Here is a 17,773-nt window from a genome sequence, read left to right on the forward strand (position 1 = left end):
AAAACAGAAATGTAAGCAAATGGTGATGCTTCCATTTAGGGCATTCCTTGGGGAGCAGGGGTGAAAACGGGGATAGTAATGGAGACAGGGTTTAGGGTAGGGGAGTGGATGAGGGTGGGTGTGAAGATGGGGATGGAGGTGGGGATGGGGGGTGAGAATGGGGTTGGAGGAAACGAGGGGGTGGAGATGGGAATAGGGTGAGGATGGGGTTGAGGTTAGGATTGTGAAGGTGGGGATGCAGATGGAGGTGAGGTTGGGGAGGGGATGGTGTGGGGACAGGAGTATATACATAATATGCATATATTATATATAGTATATATAAATATATATGTGAATATATAATAAATATGTATATGTGTGTGTGTATATATATACACACACACACACTCCTGTCCACCCCATCCCCATACGCAACCTCACTTCCATCTGCATCCCCACTTCCACAATCCTAACCTCACTTGCTACTTGGGGACACATGTATACATATATATACACTTAGAGAACCAAAGCTATGGTATGGGTTTTTATTTGCAATAGACAATCAGATTCATAAAACAAAAATAAGCTTTCATCTTACACTATGTTAGCTTAGTTTTATGAAAGTATGCAGGGCAATAAATGCATCAAGTATAGCATCTTCATCATTGAGAGACCTGACAGCTTCTAGAGTGAGCACATAGCCTCTTTCATCTCCTCACCTATATGGGCCATGCATGGCTTCTATAAATAAGACCCAAGATATCTGCAAGTCACTTTGATACAGAAAAGAAGCCACCTCAGGCTTCCACCAATCTTTTATGCTATTTGAGTCACATAGGTTTAAAATTGTCCTGACCACACAGCTCTACAAAACCAGGTGTGTCACCAAGTAGCAAGTGAAGCACCACTATATTCTGCATTTATCTTAACCCTAGAGTTCCTAAGGAAATATGACTGTGACATAAGAAATACAAAGTTCAAGGTCCCTCCAAGCCAAATCTGCAGAAACTGGGTCTAAGAAATCTGCTAATCACAACCATATAATAACCGTAAAATTTGGCAAATGCTAACATATAGGTATGTGAATTTCTATGGAATAAAAATAAAAGTATTTAATCCTAAGTGGGATATGCAGAAAAGGCTTTACACAGGAGATTACATTTGTGTTTATTGAGAAAATAAAGAAAAATTTTAGTGGCTGGAAATAAAGCTTGGAACAATTTAGGCAGAAGAAAGAGTAGGTAGAAAAACAGACTTTTAGATATTTGAGGTAGGGTATTGAGACTTCAAGATGCTGGAAATATTTTGAGGACAGAATTCAAGGGATATGAAACTAGAAGGAAGGCCAAGCCCAGTTGATTGGACTCTTTTGAATTAAAAATATTAATACTTTTTCTGCAATTATTTTGACCATTCACGAATGCCTTGATTTATGTTTACATTATGAAAATATCAACATAAGTCACTATTAATCATGAGGCTATTCATAATTATGGAAAACAAAAATCACCTGAAATAGCAAAGGAAGATTTACTCCCCTCCACTTGAAGAAATATTGTATGTTTATTAATAAGGAATGGATATGTTGGATGTGTGTCAGGAAAGGTTATACCCCACAGTATATTAGGCATTTCTGAAATAAGGGAAATTGGAAGAAATTAGACCAGGGAGAGTAGAAGTACCAAAGTTTCCCAATTGAGAATGGAAAATTCCTGATATACTGTCATCATAAATAACACAAATATTTTGTGATTTATTGTTTGCCGATACAGGATGTCTTAGAATAAAGTTTACGGTTTTATGTAAGCTAGATATATCTACTCCTCCCTCCAAAAATTTATTAAAGCATTTTTTTCTACTCATAGCAAAATGTTAACATCAAGCCAAGTTTCTATGATTTCTCTGACAATGCTGAAATAAAAATATGTCACAGGGACAAAAAGACTCTGAGTTAAATCCCAGGGAATTAAAGTGATTTTTTTCTGAAATCTCCTGCATTGTTACATTAGTACTTGTATGTCTTTGAAAATTTATATTGAACTGATATGGCTTCTTATAAAATGATTTAATTTAATACCAAAATCAGTGATTTAACTAAGCATAATTTAGAAGAAATTAGGATGCTGCTTATTGCATTCTCTTTAACCAAGACTTTATGACTATTTTGATTTTTATTACAAAAAAGTGCATAGTTATTTTGGGAGTGTTTACTTCATTCTTTAACATCCATTCTTTAACATTTCACAGCCACAACCAGTTTAGTTACATGCTTAGAGCAAATTTACCTCCTTGACTACATTTTTTAAAATTCTGTATTTAGAAGCTGTATTTTTAATTTTTCTTCACTTTAGAAATCAAAGTGGCTATTATTTTTTTAAAAGATGCTGACAAGGTTGCAGAGAAAATAGAACATTTATACATTGTTGGTAAGGGTTTAAATTAGTTCAACCATTGTGGAAAGCAGTACGGCAATTCCTCAAAGAGCTAAAAGCAGAAATAGCATTCAACTCAGCAATCTCACTACTGGGTATATACCCAGAGGAATATATGTCATTCTACCATAAAGATACATGCAGGTGAATGTTCACTGCAGCACTATTCACAAAATCAAAGACATGGAATCAACCTAAATGCCCATCAATAACAGATTGGATAAAGAAAATGTGGTACACATACACCATGGAATACTATGCAGCCATAAAAAGAATGAGATCATGGCTTTTGTGGGAACACGAATGGAGCTAGAGATTATTATCCTTAGCAAATGAATGCTGGAACAGAAAACCAAATACTGCATGTTCTCACTTATAAGTGGTAACTAAATGATAAATCCTCACAAATACAAAGAGGTGAACAACAGACACTGGGATCTACTTGAAGGCGAAGGTTGAGAGGAGGGAGAGGAGCAGAAAAGGAAATTATTGGATACTAGGCTTAATATCTGGCTGATTAAATCATCTGTACAACAAACCCTGTGACACAGTTTCACCCGTGTAACAAATCTTCATATGTACCCTCAAACCTAAAATAAATGTATTAAAAAAGGACAATTATATATATGTTTCCGACAATGGATTCTATGCTCATTTATTAACAATTTGGAAGTTCAAAAAATGTAAAGAAGTAAATAATACCACCCATACCCTCCAACTTGGGTGAAATCACACCCACAGTTGTTATGGTTTCTTCTAGAAATTTTCATATTTTAAAATATACATCCTGATATTTTCTCACCTAACATCAAGATGTAATCTTTCACCACGTATTATTAGTTATTTCATAAAACTCCCTTTAGTGCTTACATGATACTTAAAGGATTGGTGGTATTGTCATTTATATTATGATTTTCAATCTGGGGTGATTTGTATGCAAGTTACTGTTTTGAGCTGGGGGTGGTGAACATATTTGCAAATATAGCTGGTTTTGGTTTAATGTTTTCTCATTGTGTGTTTAAAAAATGTTTATCATTTATTTCTTCAAGTTATCTGAAACAAGAAAGTCTATTTTGGCTTAGAGGTAATCAGTAGGAAAACAATGGAAAGAAATGGCATTTTTCAGTACAAGTGAACCTTTGTTTGAGGCCTCTCAATTTCAAAATGATTCATTATCAATCCATTTGCTCATCTGAGATACTTAAAAATAACTGAATATATAAGTTTACTTTGTGGATAAACTTGTAAAGATCTAATAATTATAGCTTTTATAATGTATTTGTTTTTATTTATTTATTTAGTTAGTTAGCTGTTAGTTAATTCTTGCTATTGTCAGACATGGGGTTAGGTGCCAAGAGTGCTCTCACCTGATCACCATAGGTATTCCAAGGCTTACACGGCGTACCCACAGATACACAGCTAAGTAGAGGCGGAACCAAATAGTCAGAATAAACAATTTCTAGTGCTAGCACAATTAACTAATGTGTTCTATGTAAAGTGGGCATCATCCCTCTATTAGGGAAGATACCCTCACTATGTTTTATTATAGCCCTTTCCATTCCTCTTTATCCTCAAAAAAAGCAATGATCATATTTTGTTTTTGTTTTTGTTGCCTTTGTTTAACTGTCTATATTTACGCCATTTCAGCTGACCCTTCCTTCTGGGTCTTTGTTTCGAGTATTATTCTCTGGAGGAAAGATTCTGAGATAGAGATAACCAGGCAGGATATTTTCGCAGGGAGAATTCTTAGGATAAGCATCTGAGAAAGGGAGGTGTTGGCCAGATGGAAAGCTGGATGCCTGTTCAGATTTGCGGACTAAGTCTTTGGACTCCCATGGTGCCCAGGAAAGAGACACGACCCCTGAATGATGTTGTTTTCTACATCTGAGACAATCCACGGAGGGGGCTGACAACTGACAGCTAAGGGTCATCTTGGAAGCACTCCCTCAGATGGAAAAATGAGCCTCTAGTTCCTGAAGGGCAATCTGTGCAGTGCATCACAGGATGCTCCACAGTAATTATAAAACTCTTCTTTAATTCATAAGTGAAATAATATAAATTATGCATGTGTATGCATACACATACGTACTCTACTGTATGCATAAATATATTGTTATAAATATCAAATAAGGTTACAGCATAGTCAATTAAAGACAGTTACTACAGTAACACCTTATAAAATATTTAATGCACATACTTACATATGCAAAAATATATATGTGCATTTCTATGTAATCTGTGCTATTCCCAGATGTAAGAGACTCATTGAAAAAGCTAATGAATTCCTCAACTGCAGAAATAAATGTGTTCATGCATTAAATTTATTTTAGATCCTTGAATTAGGACAACTGATTGCTGTCCATTATAGACAGCATTTCTGAATTCCTGCATCTAGATGATTAATGATAGTGTAAATTGTACATGTTTACCACTATTAAAGAAAATAAATAAAGCTTCTGAGTGCCTCTGATTGTATGTTCACAGTTGAACAAATTGTTTATTTTTATACATAGGCCAACAAACTATAATTCATGAATTTGACTTCTTCCTTAGCCTTAAACTGTTTCTTCTGTAGCCTAGGAAAATGATATAGAGAATTCAAGCTGCCCCTCTGGGGAGAGTTCCGAGAGGCAGAACCAGAGCAGAGTAGACATTTCAGAGAAAGAAAAAGAGAAAAACAGCTGTACTCTCTATATTTTATTCCATTTAATCTTCACAATACACCCTAATCAAAAGGCACTTCCAAATAAAAAATCCACATTAAAGATTTTAGATTAACTTGTCCAAGATCATATATGAAATATTTTTGCAGCGCCAGGATGAAACCTTGTTCTATTGACCCAAAGTGCAAGTTTTAATCCTCTTCCACCTACTAGGAAAATTTTTCAAAGGTATACTTGTATTTGAGGTAGCTAACTGGGAGCACCTATAAGATGAGTGCCCTGGTGTAACACTAGACACTTTATTTTCCCATTTTTCCTATCTTGACATGGATTTGTGACTATTCCTCTTTGGGAGAGAATCAATAGAGACGCATGAAAAAAAGAACTGAACTCTTAAAAATGTTACAATCTTAAAGCAAATGAACCATTAAGGTATCCAGACAAAAGTCAAATGAAGCTCCTTGTGATTCTCTTGAAGAGTTGGATTAAGCTTCTTCAATTCTTGGACAAGTTTGCACCTGTCCACAGATTCTACTTTTCTTCCTTTAATAATTCAGCTATTGGCAGTTGGAGCTTTGCTTTTGCTTCATTACTCTCCTCTTGGGAAGTAATATTTCCTCAAAAATTTGGTGACATTTTTATTTCTCATGTTTAAAGGATCCCTCTCCATCTCTTCCAGGGGTCACACATTTCTACCATCTCAGACAGATGGACTCTCTCATTCTTATCCAGGCTGGCAGTGTTCAAATTCAGGTGCTTATTTTTTTCCTTTGATCTACCACTGCTCATTTACATCTCTGTCCATTAGACAGAAGTGTCAGTGCCTTTCCTTTTTTTTTTTTTTGCCTCCATATTACAACTCAATGAACTTGCATTAGTAGATATATTTTGGATTTTTCTAAAAGTATAAGGGTTTTTAAATTATCAATGAAAAGCTGATTAAATGAAAGTGGAATTAATATAAAATGTTAATTATTTAAAAACTGCAGTAAGACGAGATCATGGCATGTTTTAAATATACATAAATATTTTCATATATAGATTGAAGACAATCTATATATGCACTAATGGTCTTTTTCTCTGTGTCTGTGGGTCTAATTTTGAATATTGTTAAGGCCCTGCTTGGATGTCAACGTATCCAAGTAGCTTTCAATGTTTTTCTCCCAAATTACCAAGCATATTAATGTTTCTCATATTGAATTATATTTTATCAAATCAAATTTTATAACAGATTAGTATTTTTCCTGAGTTACAATATTTGAAACTAGCAAGCTCCAGAAGAGAAGAAATTAGCTTAGAGAGAAAAGAAAAAAAACAGATTTAGAACCAGGCCTCTGGTTATTAATGATTATCAGACATTGATTTGGTTGCTTAATCTCTCTAAGCCTCATTTTTCTCATCTCTAAAATGGTGCTAATACCAATGCCTATGTTTTAGCATTGTTGTGAGGACCAAATAAATTTTTATATGTAAAATTCTTAACTCAAAATGGGAACCATGCTAACTTTTTGAAAATGCTTTACTATTGATATGAAGTGTTTTGGAGCTCAAGATATGTGGGTCTCCAATAGCAAGACAGTTATCCACACTGAGTTTTAGTGATTTCAGCTCTGCAATGAGAAAAAGAAGAAAACAAACAAACAAAAACAAAAGCAAGGTCTCTCCTTGGCTTTTGAGAAGGCAGGTTTTGTTTGTTTGGCTTTGTTTATGTCATCATGATCAGCATGCCTATTTTAACTGTGTCCTTACGTGACCAGCATCCCCACTGCGTAGCGCTGTGTTGGATTATTTTTTTTGTAGCAGATTTATTGATATATAATTTTAGAACGTTTTCATCACCCTGAAGTAGTTCCTGTACTTTTTATGGGAACAGCCCCCTGACGACCTACTCACACACAATCTCTCTCCCTCCTCACCCAGGTTCAGGCAGCCTTAAATCTACTTTCTCTATATATCGACTTTACTATTCTGAACATTTCACATGAATAAAATCACATAATGTGTGATTATGTGGCTTATTGTGATTGTCTCCTTTAACATAACATACTGTTTTCAAGGTTCACCCATGCCATAACTTATGTAAGTACTTTGTTTCAGTTTATTGTTGAATGTTACATCATGTTGAAACACCACATATTTATCCACTGATCAACTGGCAGATATTTGGGTTCTATGCACTTTTTGGCTATTATGAATAATGCAGCTATAAACATTTGTGTACAAGTTTTTGTTTGTATGTATGCTTTCATTTTTATTCATTAATTGTTTTAGAGACAGGTCTCATTGTATCCCCAGGCTGGACTGCAGTGGCACAATCACAGCTCACTGCAACCTCCACCTCCCAAGTTCAAGGGATCCTGCTACCTCAGCCTCCCTAGTAGCTGGGACTAAAGGCAAGCACCACCAGGCCCAGCTAATTTTTTATTTTTTTATAGAGACGGGGTTTTGCCATGTTGCCCGGGTTAGTCCTGAACTCAAGCAATCCCCCAACCTCAGCCTCCCAAAGTGTTGTTATTAAAGGCGTGAGTCACCACAACTGGCCTGCTTTCATTTTTATTTGATATATACCCAGAAGTGGAATTTCTGGATCAAACAACTCTATGTTTAATTTTTTGAGTAACTGGAAGACTGTTTTGTGAAACAATGGTACCTTTTTGTATGCAAACAACAATGTATGAGAGTTTTTATATTTCCGCATATTCACTAAAATAGTGTTTACAGTAACCAAAATAGCATGGTACTGGTACAAGAACAGACACATAGACCAATGGAACAGAATAGAGAACCATCCTTTGCTTCTGATGAGAATATAGCTGTCATTGAGATTTCCTTGTAAGTAATGAGCCATTTCTATCTTTCTGCTTTCAAGATGTTCCCTTTCTATCTGGCTTTCAATAATTTTATTATGATGTGTCTGTGGTGAATTTTCTGTATTTCTCCTATGTGGAGTTTTTATATGTATAGTGGGCCATATGTGCGTCTTCTTTACAGAAGTGTCAGTTCATGTACTTTGCCTACTTTTTAATGAAGCTGTTTCTTTCTTTCTTGTAAACTTGTGTAAGTTCCTTATATATGCTGGATATTAGGATTTTGTCAGATGCATAGATTGAAAAAATTTTCTCCCATTCTGTAGGTTGTCTGTTCACTCTGTTGATAGTTTCTTTTGCTGTGCAGAAGCTCTTTAATTAGGTTCCATTTGTCAATTTTTGCTTTTGTTGCTATTGCTTTTGGTGCTTTCATCATGAAATATTTGCCTGTGCCTATGTCCTAAATGGTATTACCTAGGTTTTTTTTTCTAGGATTTTTACAGTTTTGGGTTTTACATTTAAGTCTTTAATCCATCTTGTGTTGATTTTTGTATACAGTGTAAAGAAGGGGTCCAGTTTCATTTTTCTGCATATGGCTAGCCAGTTTGCCCAAAAACATTTACTAAATAAGGAATCCTTTCCCTGTTGTTTGTTGTTGTCAGATTTGTCAAAAATAAGATGGTTGTAGGGGTGCAGTCTTATTTCTGGGTTCTCTATTCTGTTCCATTTGTCTATGTGACTGTTCTTGTACCAGTACCATGCTGTTTTGGTTACTGTAGTACTGTAGTATAGTTTGAAGTCAGGTAGCATGATGTTTCTAGTTTTGTTCATTTTGCTTAGGATTGTTTTGACTATTTTTCACAGAACTAGAAAAACTATTTTAAAATCCATATGGTTCTTACTAGTTTCAAATTCTTACCACAATCCATTTTTTCTTCTACTCACTTTATTTGTGCTGTTATCCTCAAATATACTACATTTTTATATGTTAAAAACCTCCAAAATACAAATGTATATTATTTGGTACAGTTGGTTCTTAAGTCAGTTAGGAGAAGAAAGTAAAATAAATATATATTAATAAAGCCTTTTATATATACATAATTATCTTTACCAGTGTTGTTTTCCGTGTGAATTTTAATTATGCTCTGGGGTCGTTTGCTTTTACCCTGAAGAACTTCCTTTACAATTTCTTACAAGATACAGCCAGAAAAATACATAAATTCTCTAACATATTTGTCTTCTAACAACAAATTCTCACTTCTGTTTACATTTTGGAATGTCTATTTCAACATCATGTTTGAAAGATGACTTTATTGGGACATGGTTGGCAGTACTATTCTTTTGAAAATGTTGAATATCTTTACTGCCGTCTAACATCCTTTGCTTCTGATGAGAACATAGCTGTCATTGAGATTTCCTTGTAAGTAATGAGCCATTTTTATCTTTCTGCTTTCAAGATTTTCTTTTCTATCTGGCTTTCAATACTTTTATTATGATGTGTCTGTGGTGAATTGTCTGTATTTATCCTATGTGAAGTTTTTATTTGTATAGGTGGGTTTTTATCAAATTTAGAAAATTTTCAGCCATTATTTCTGCAAATACAGTGTTCTGCTCCTTCATGTCTCTCCTTTCTGTCATTCCTGTTACATATCTGTAGGTTCATTTAATGGTGTCCCATTTCTCTGAGGTTTTCTTCATTTACTTTGCATTATTTTACTCTGTTATTTGGACTGCATAATATCTATTAATCTATCTCCATGTTTGCTCTTTCTTCTTGTAGTTCAAGTCTATTGCTGAACACTTCTAGTGAACTTTTCATAACAGTTATTGTGTTTTACAACCCCCTCATTTTTATTTGCTTCTATTTTTATAATTTCTATTACTTTATTGATATTCTCTATTTGATGAGATTACCAATATACTTCCTTTACTTCTTCAAATATAGTTTTCTTCAGTTCTTTGAACATTTTTATAATGGCTACTTTGAAGTCACTGTCTATCTGACCCAGAGTTGCTCTCACGGGCAGTTTTTAATGCCTATACTTTGTCTTGAGTACTAGCCAGGCTTCCTTTCTCCTTTGCCTGACTCCCAATTTTTGGTTGTAAACAGGATGTTTTCTATGATATATTGTAGCAACTTTGAATTCTACTTACACCGAGCCCTCCAAGACTTATGTTTTCTTGCTTGTATATTTGTTTAGTGACTCCTTTTGTTACTGTAGTCATTACTCTTTCCCCTAAGTACAATGCTTCTGATGTTGCTCCACAGAGGGTGGAGTCTTGAACACAATTATAGTCACCCTCAGATGGCAGTGGCTTCCTCAGCATTCTTTTTCTCTGTCTTCCCCTCATGATGTAGCAGATAAGCTCCACTAATTGCCTGCTGTTTGCTCTTTTGTTTGCAACAATGTCTAGGGGAATGCATTCTATACAGGCTTGTCCAATTCAATTTGGACCCCTGCAGGATACATTTTGAGGTTAGTACTCAATATATGTTCTGATCTCAGGAGGCTATTTTTACCAGTCTATTTTCCTGGTTTTCTCTGATAGACTAGTTAGCCTGCAAGTTAGTTTGCAAGTTCATCTGTAATGAAGGTACCAGTCTTCTCTTAATTACTTTTCACCATAATCTCCATTGTTTTTGAAAGAACCACTGAGCTTAACTTCCCCACATTCTGATGCAAAGTCAGTTCTTTGGGGGAAGTTTCGTAGCACTCCTTTTTGTAACCTGTCTCTCCATCTGGGCAAAATCCCTGAATCACTACTTTGTAGTTGGAAACAGACACAATGGCCCACTTCTTTCAGCATGACACCTCTGAATTAGAAACGGGTTATTTGACAGAGGGAAGTCAGTAGCCTCTAGTCTTTTCATCTTACCTCTTCCAGCATGGGGCATTCCACCTTACTAAAGATCCGGGTCAAGAATAACCAGAATTCCAGTATTCATGGTGAACCATGCCCAAGGTAGACTCTCCATCTTATGAGTGGAGGTTGTGTGAAAAAATAATACATCTCCTTCCTGGGCACACTCATCTGAAACTCAGTATTTTTAACGTATCTAATGATGTCCTACCATTTATTGGAAGAGACTGTAGACCTACACAGGCAATTAGAGTTAGTAAAACTCCTGTGTTCTTGACTGCACTCATCTAGAATGGAGTTTCTGTCACACTGGGAGCTGGGAGAGGATAAGGAAGAAACGACTGGTTCAAATGCTACACACTCTCTTCTCCTTGTGTTTTAGTAGACACTCTTGAATAAATGTTTCTTCATTTGTTGTATGATATTAGGCCCATTTCCAGAGACTTCAAGTGCTTCTTTCTGTATAATTTTTATGAGTTTCACTAATGAGTCGGTCTATAGAACATCTCATTACTCTTCTGGAATTATACTGCACTTTTTAGTATGTTTCTATATTTATTATTTCCTGGCTGTTATTTTCCATTTTTTATATATCACAAGTGTTTTTATTTCAGTTCTATTATAATAGCTGTGTTAAAGTTCTTTTCCATTAATTTAAACATCTGAGTCATCTCAGGGTCTGTTTTATTGACTTTACTTTTAGTATGACTCATGTCTTCCTATTTAACCTTGGTTTATATTTTACTTCATTGTTACTTGCTGGACTCTGGGAGTAATAAGTTGTGGGGAATACCAGAGGCCATCTTCCCTTAAAGGATGTTGATTGTATTCTGTTGGTAACTGACTGTTATCTCCTGGTCAGCATTCAGTCTTAGTTCTATTTTTTATTAGTTCTCTTTATCTTTTGGCCTAGCTTCTAAAACGTGACTCTAACTGTAGTGAGTGATTTTTTTTTTTTTTTTTTTTTTTTTTTTTTTTTTTTTTTTGAGACGGAGTCTCGCTCTGTCGCCCAGGCTGGAGTGCAGTGGCGAGATCTCGGCTCACTGCAAGCTCCGCCTCCCAGGTTCACGCCATTCTCCTGCCTCAGCCTCCCGAGTAGCTGGGACTACAGGCACCTGCCACCACAACAGGCTAATTTTTTTGTATTTTTAGTAGAGACAGGGTTTCACCGTGTTAGCCAGGATGGTCTCGATTTCCTGACCTCGTGATCCGCCCGCCTCGGCCTCTCAAAGTGCTGGGATTACAGGCGTGAGCCACCGTGCCCGACCAAGTAGTATGCGATTCTTACCTGCTTGGTCTTTCATGAGTTTCAGTGAAATGCCTAAGATATTCAATAAGGTCTCTTAACCTTGACTGGACCAGAATTTCTATGTCTGGAGGCCTACATAAACTCTGCTATTTCTATTCAGTTCTCAGCTCTTTATTAACATTTCTGCCAGTCCTCCGTGTGACTCAGCCTATGCAAAAACAACACACCCCTCAGCCTAGGATCTATAATAAATGCTCATGCAGAATTGTATCCTTTCTCTTTCCAGTTCCCTATTCTCTGGTAACTTACTCCAACATTGTAGCTACTTCAGTACCTCAGAGCACTGATCTGTCTCTTCTGGTTCCACATGCTCTGTCTAGCCTTTATCTCCTTGATCTGAAGCATGTTACAGGCCTACAGCAGAAAGCCAGGAAATATGTTGGACTCACCTAATCTGCTTGCTCTAAAATTTTACAAGCATGTGCTACTTGTTGCTCATTGTCTGAACATAGAGAATTTACATATTTTTTCTGGCTGTATAGCTTCTTTCAGTATGAAGAAAAGTCTTGTAACAGTTATACTCTTGTGTGGCTGGAAGCAGATGGCTTTATGTTTTTTTCTTAAGCTGATGGAAATAATTATTTTCACCCATAGACTTTCTGGGAAGTGTTTATTCGTAGGACCCATGGAATATTTGGTGAGCAAGTCTCCAAGAAAGACTGGGTCTCATGCCAATATGAGTTGTAGGAATACAAAGTCATTGCTATTTTATTAAAGAAATGTATTTTTATTATGTACTCCAACCTTAAAAGTACGTTGGGTTATAACAACATGGTGTATCTTGTACATGAAGTTTCCATTCACTGAGATATGAGCTACAACTTATAAAGCTAGTTTTGAGAAAAAGGTCTTGAATTCAAGTTTAGGGGATATAGAATTTATACTGCTTGTTGTATAACAAAAATATATATGCCTGCCTGCTATAGAAATGCTTTAGTAAGCTATTACAGTTGCCTTTATTTCACCTTTTTCCTTTTTTCTTTTTTTTCTTTTTTTGTTGAGACGTCTCGCTCTGTTGCCAGGCTGGAGTGCGGTGGCGTGATCTCAGCTCACTGCAACCTCTGCCTCCTGGGTTCAAGCGATTCTCATGCCTCAGCCTCCCGAATAGGTGGGACTACAGGCACCCACCACCATGCCTGGCTAATTTCTGTATCTTTTAGTGGAGATGGGGTTTCACCATGTTAGCCAGGATGGTCTCAATCTCCTGACCTCGTGATCCACCAGCCTCAGCCTCCCAAAGTGCTGGGATTACAGGCGTGAGCCACCGCGCCCGGCCTCAACTTTTATTTTCGATTCAAGGGGTACATGTGCAGGTTTGTGACAAGGGTATATTGCATGATGCTGAGGTTTTGGGTACAATTAAACATGTTTCCCAGATAGTAAGCACAGTATCCCATGAGTAGTTTTTCAACCCTTGCCCACCTCCTTTCCTCCCTTCTTTTGTAGTTCCCAGTGTCTATTATTCCCATTTTTATCTCCATGTACACCCAATGTATATTCCCGCTAATAAGTGAGAACACTCGGTGTTTTGTTTACTGTATCTGCATTAAGTTTGCTTAGGATAATGGCCTCCAGCTGCATCCATGTTGCAGCAAAGAACATAGTTTCATTCTTTCTTTTAAGCCATTATAGTTAACCAAGAGGAAGTCTAAGACCAAAGCTCCATCAAGTACCTATGGCTTCAACCAGGATATAAAAACCTATGATCACAATATCATTTCTAGCCCTCACTGAATGCCAGAATAAATGTACAGTTTTTAATGTATCCTGGTTAGATTTATCTAGTAAGTTAAACAGAGATAATTCTGAGGAGTCACGGCACAGTGATATTGTCACGGGATCCTTGAGGTGTTGCTTCGCTAGCTGGAAACCTTTGTGGCTGGCAGTGTCTTCTGCCTGAGTATTGCTTGTGCCCACTGACCTCGTTCCACCCACTTGGTCCAGCAGGCTGTGCTTGGCTCGTGCTACCAGCCCAGATCCCACAACTGCCAAGGGCTAGTCAGGTGCAGGCAGAGTGGCAAGGGGTGTGTGGGCGAGTAAGCGTGGGATTCGGCCACTGCACACAGCCAGGCACACTGGCTGCTGTGGCAGCTGGGTGGCTCCAGGCACTGGCACAGTGGCCAGCTCCATGGAGGCTGTGGCTAGAGCAGATGTACTACATGCAGCTTCTGCTGGAGGTACCTGAGTGCCCGGAATTGGTGGGTTTTTGGTCTTGCTGACTTCAAGAATGAAGCTGCAGACCCTCACGGTGTTACAGTTCTTAAAGATGGTGTGTCTGGAGTTTGTTCCTTCAGATGTTCAGATGTGTCCAGAGTTTCCTCCTTTTGGTGGGTTCGTGGTCTCGCCGGCTTCAGGAGTGAAGCTGCAGACCTTCCCCCGTGAGTGTTACAGCTCATAAAGACGGCGCAGACCCAAAGAGTGAGCAGCAGCAAGATTTATCGCAAGGAGCAAAAGAACAAGGCTTCCATAGCGTGGAAGGGAACCGGAGCGCATTGCAGCTGTTGGCTCCCGTGGCCTGCTTTAATTCCCTTAACTAGCCCCAGCCACATCCTACTGATTGGCCCATTTTACAGAGAGCTGCTTGGTCCACTTTACCCAGAGCTCATTGGTCCGTTTTGACAGATTGCTGATTGCTGCGTTTACAAACCTTTAGCTAGACAGAAAAGTTCTCCAAGTCCCCATCAGATTAGCTAGACACAAAGCGCTGATTGGTGTGCTTACAAACCTTTAGCTAGACACAGAGTGCTGATTGGTACGTTTACAATCCTTTAGCTAGACAGAAAATCTCCAAGTCCCCACCGGACCCAGAAGCCCAGCCGGCTTCACCTCCCAGTGGCACTCACCGCGGGACTTTGCAGCACCTAGCCCGGGCACTCCCGCAGCCCAGAGGGAGCTCGCCACCCCCCTACCCCGCCACAACAAGCCCAGCTGGGGCCAGCCAGCTGGCGGAGTGCGGGGCCCGCCCAGCCTGCGCCCACCCGGAACCCGTGCCGGCCCGCGAGCGCCGCGCGCAGCCCCGCCTCCCGCCCGCGCCTCCCTCTCCACACCTCCCCGCGAGCAGAGGGAGCCGGCTCCGGTCTTGGCCAGCCCCAGAGAGGTGCCCCCACAGCGCAGCGGCGGGCTGAAGGGCACCTTGAGCGCGGCCAGAGCGGACGCCGAGGCCAAGGAGGCGCCGAGAGCGATCGAGGGCTGCGAGCACGTTGTCACCTCTTACCTGCATCCGGACGCGGGGAATGCGGTGGCACTCAGAAGTTTGGAGATGCCAGGAACTGCAGTGCCCGGAAGAGGGTTTCACAGCCCTGGCTCAGGGAGCCCCTGGGACTATGCTCCCTGAAAGGCCACAGCTCTTCTCTCCTTCTCATCACCTCCAATGTGGCAAGTGGGTGGGGCGGTGGGGAGCAGGGGGAGGAGAGTGCGTGTTTTAGCCCTGTTTGTGTTACAGCTTCTTCAGTCCCATCATTCTGCAGGTCCCGAGTTCAGGCAGGTCATTCTGTCAAGTGTCCAGCTGTCAGCAAAGAGGAGACCCACAGCGGGTAGCTCCTTCATGCAGCTAGCAGCCCAGATGTCTGTGAGTTTGGGTGAGTCTGGAGTTTTATGGACTTCAGAAGACAGGAAGTGCGTGTTGATTGGTCCATGGGTGGCCATGGGCGGGCCTGGAAAAAGCACCTATAAGTTCTCACTCCAAGCCATGGACTCCACCCCAACTGACAGCCCAGCCCCCAGGCTTCAGGCTGTCCCTGGCTTGAAGTTGGGGCTTCACTAGGTACCCACCCCTTTCTGCCCGGGAGCCTCTCTGCCTCCTGCCACCATCAATCATGCCCACAGCGCCCAAGCTGTTTGATCCAAGGGACGCCTGCAGGCCTGCGCCAAGCCACTCTCAGCCTCACCGCGGCCTCCCACCCATGCTGTTGGCACCCAAAATCTGGAGGGGGCTGCGGAGGCAGGGGGCTGCCATGTCAGTGCCTTCCCAAGCATGTGCACACCTGGGCAGGTTGCAACAGTGGGGTCTCAGCCTCAACTTTGCTCTGAAATCAGAGCAGGCACTGGGAGCAGAGAGAGATCAAGCAGAGGGAGCAGGCACTTCCAAGCTTGCTAGGGCAGGGGGCTTCCTGGGCCCCCGAGAGCACAGGAATGCCTGGGTCCACAACCGCGACTGGGCGCCTGCAGCTGTGCCTGGGAGGGTGGGTCTCCCACCCTGCCAACTCGGAAGGGAACGGGGCTCCCTCCTGTTCCAAGCTCCCACCTGCTCCATGGAGGGCACATACTTGGCTGTGCCTCCCCTGCAGCAGCCGGTGTCTTCACAGATGGCCACCACTGCCATCAATATTGAATAAGGTGAGGTATTCCATAAACTAGGGGCTGATATTCTCATTGAGTTTCTATTTAACTGGGCAATTGTCAAATTATTCAATGGGGAGTTTTGTGTTGTGGCTCCATACAAAGTGGTGATGCCACTGAATTCAGAGTCTCCTGTAAAAGTCAGTGTGCGTCAGCAATGGACTCCAAGTTAAATAACCATGTTCAGTGTTTGTTTGAGGAACAATATAACTATAGATACCTATGATTTTTATCTCCTGAGGGCAGATGGTTTTGATGAGCAGGCACTAATGCTTCCTTCCTTAGGTACTTCTAAAAATATAAATTAAAGTCTTAACATTGTGGTTTCCGTAGCAGTCTCTTGTGTTTTAAAATAGCATGAATCAATTCACCAAGGCTAGAGACTTCTCACATTGTAAACCAGTGAAATTAAGTTTGTGAATCTGAAAAGCTGAAAAATCACCCCTGGGACTGAAGAAAATGTGAGAATAAGACTGAGAAGCCATAATTCCCTATCCATCTTCCTACACACTTTCATAGCCTTTGTCGTCTGAGGGAAAAAGAAAGGTTTTCATCATGCCAGTTAAAGGCTGTGAATGTGACCTAGATAATTCTTGGGGAATTTAAGTTGAAACACTTCTTTTAATGTCCTTTGAAAGGAAAAGCTAAACCTTCATTTCTCAGAATGAAATTGTGGTCAAAACAAATGTATCAAAAGGGCTAGAGAGAGATGGAAAAAGATTGTATTTCCAGGTAAGCTGCTCAAATCTATCTGGTCATTCTCTAAAATAGTCTCATCATATTCAAATCATTAGAACCACTGTGTGTGTCTGTGTGTGTGTGTGTGTGCATGCGTGTGTGTGTGTGTGTGTAGTGGTTTAAATAATAACCAAACATTATTCTCCACCATAGAAATACACAGCTTCTCCACAGGAATAAGAAAAACTTAATATTCAAGAAGCATCTATTTTAGGATAATAATACTATATAAATAGTTTTCTCACTAAAAATATGTCTTTTTAAAATTTTTAAATTTTTTTTATTTTGAGACAGAGTCTCACTCTGTCGCCCAGGCTGGAGTGCAGTAGCGTGATCTCGGCTCACTGCAACCTCTGCTGCCCAGGTTCAAGCGATTCTCCTGCCTCAGCCTCCTGAGTAGCTGGGATTACAGGTGCCCGCCACCACGCCCGGCTAATTTCTGATCTTGAACTCCTGACCTGGTGATCCAACCTCCTCGGCCTGCCAAAGTGCTGGTATTACAGGCATAAGCTACCGTGCCCAGCCTAAATATGACATTTTATCCCATAGTAGAGTTCTCTTTTGCTACTTACCTCAAGACAATAAATTCTGTAGTAAAATTTAATAGTTTTAGCTTCTTACTTTAATTAGAACAAAAATAAAGGA

At 39.7% G+C, this 17,773-nt stretch overlaps 1 long non-coding RNA gene across 3 annotated transcripts in view; it reads right to left on the reverse strand.

Annotated features, from left to right (window-relative positions):
• LOC105371308 (uncharacterized) overlaps positions 1-15,620 on the reverse strand; it is a 512,336-nt gene extending 496,716 nt beyond the window's left edge. For all 3 annotated transcript variants that reach the window (XR_001752232.2, XR_007065221.1, XR_007065220.1), the window contains exon 1: positions 15,267-15,620. This is a non-coding gene — a long non-coding RNA (uncharacterized LOC105371308). The remainder of the gene's footprint in view (positions 1-15,266) is intronic.
• Between the last annotated feature and the right edge of the window lie 2,153 nt (positions 15,621-17,773).

Source organism: Homo sapiens, chromosome 16, assembly GCF_000001405.40.
Source record: "Homo sapiens chromosome 16, GRCh38.p14 Primary Assembly".
Classification (NCBI taxonomy): Eukaryota; Metazoa; Chordata; class Mammalia; order Primates; family Hominidae; genus Homo; species Homo sapiens.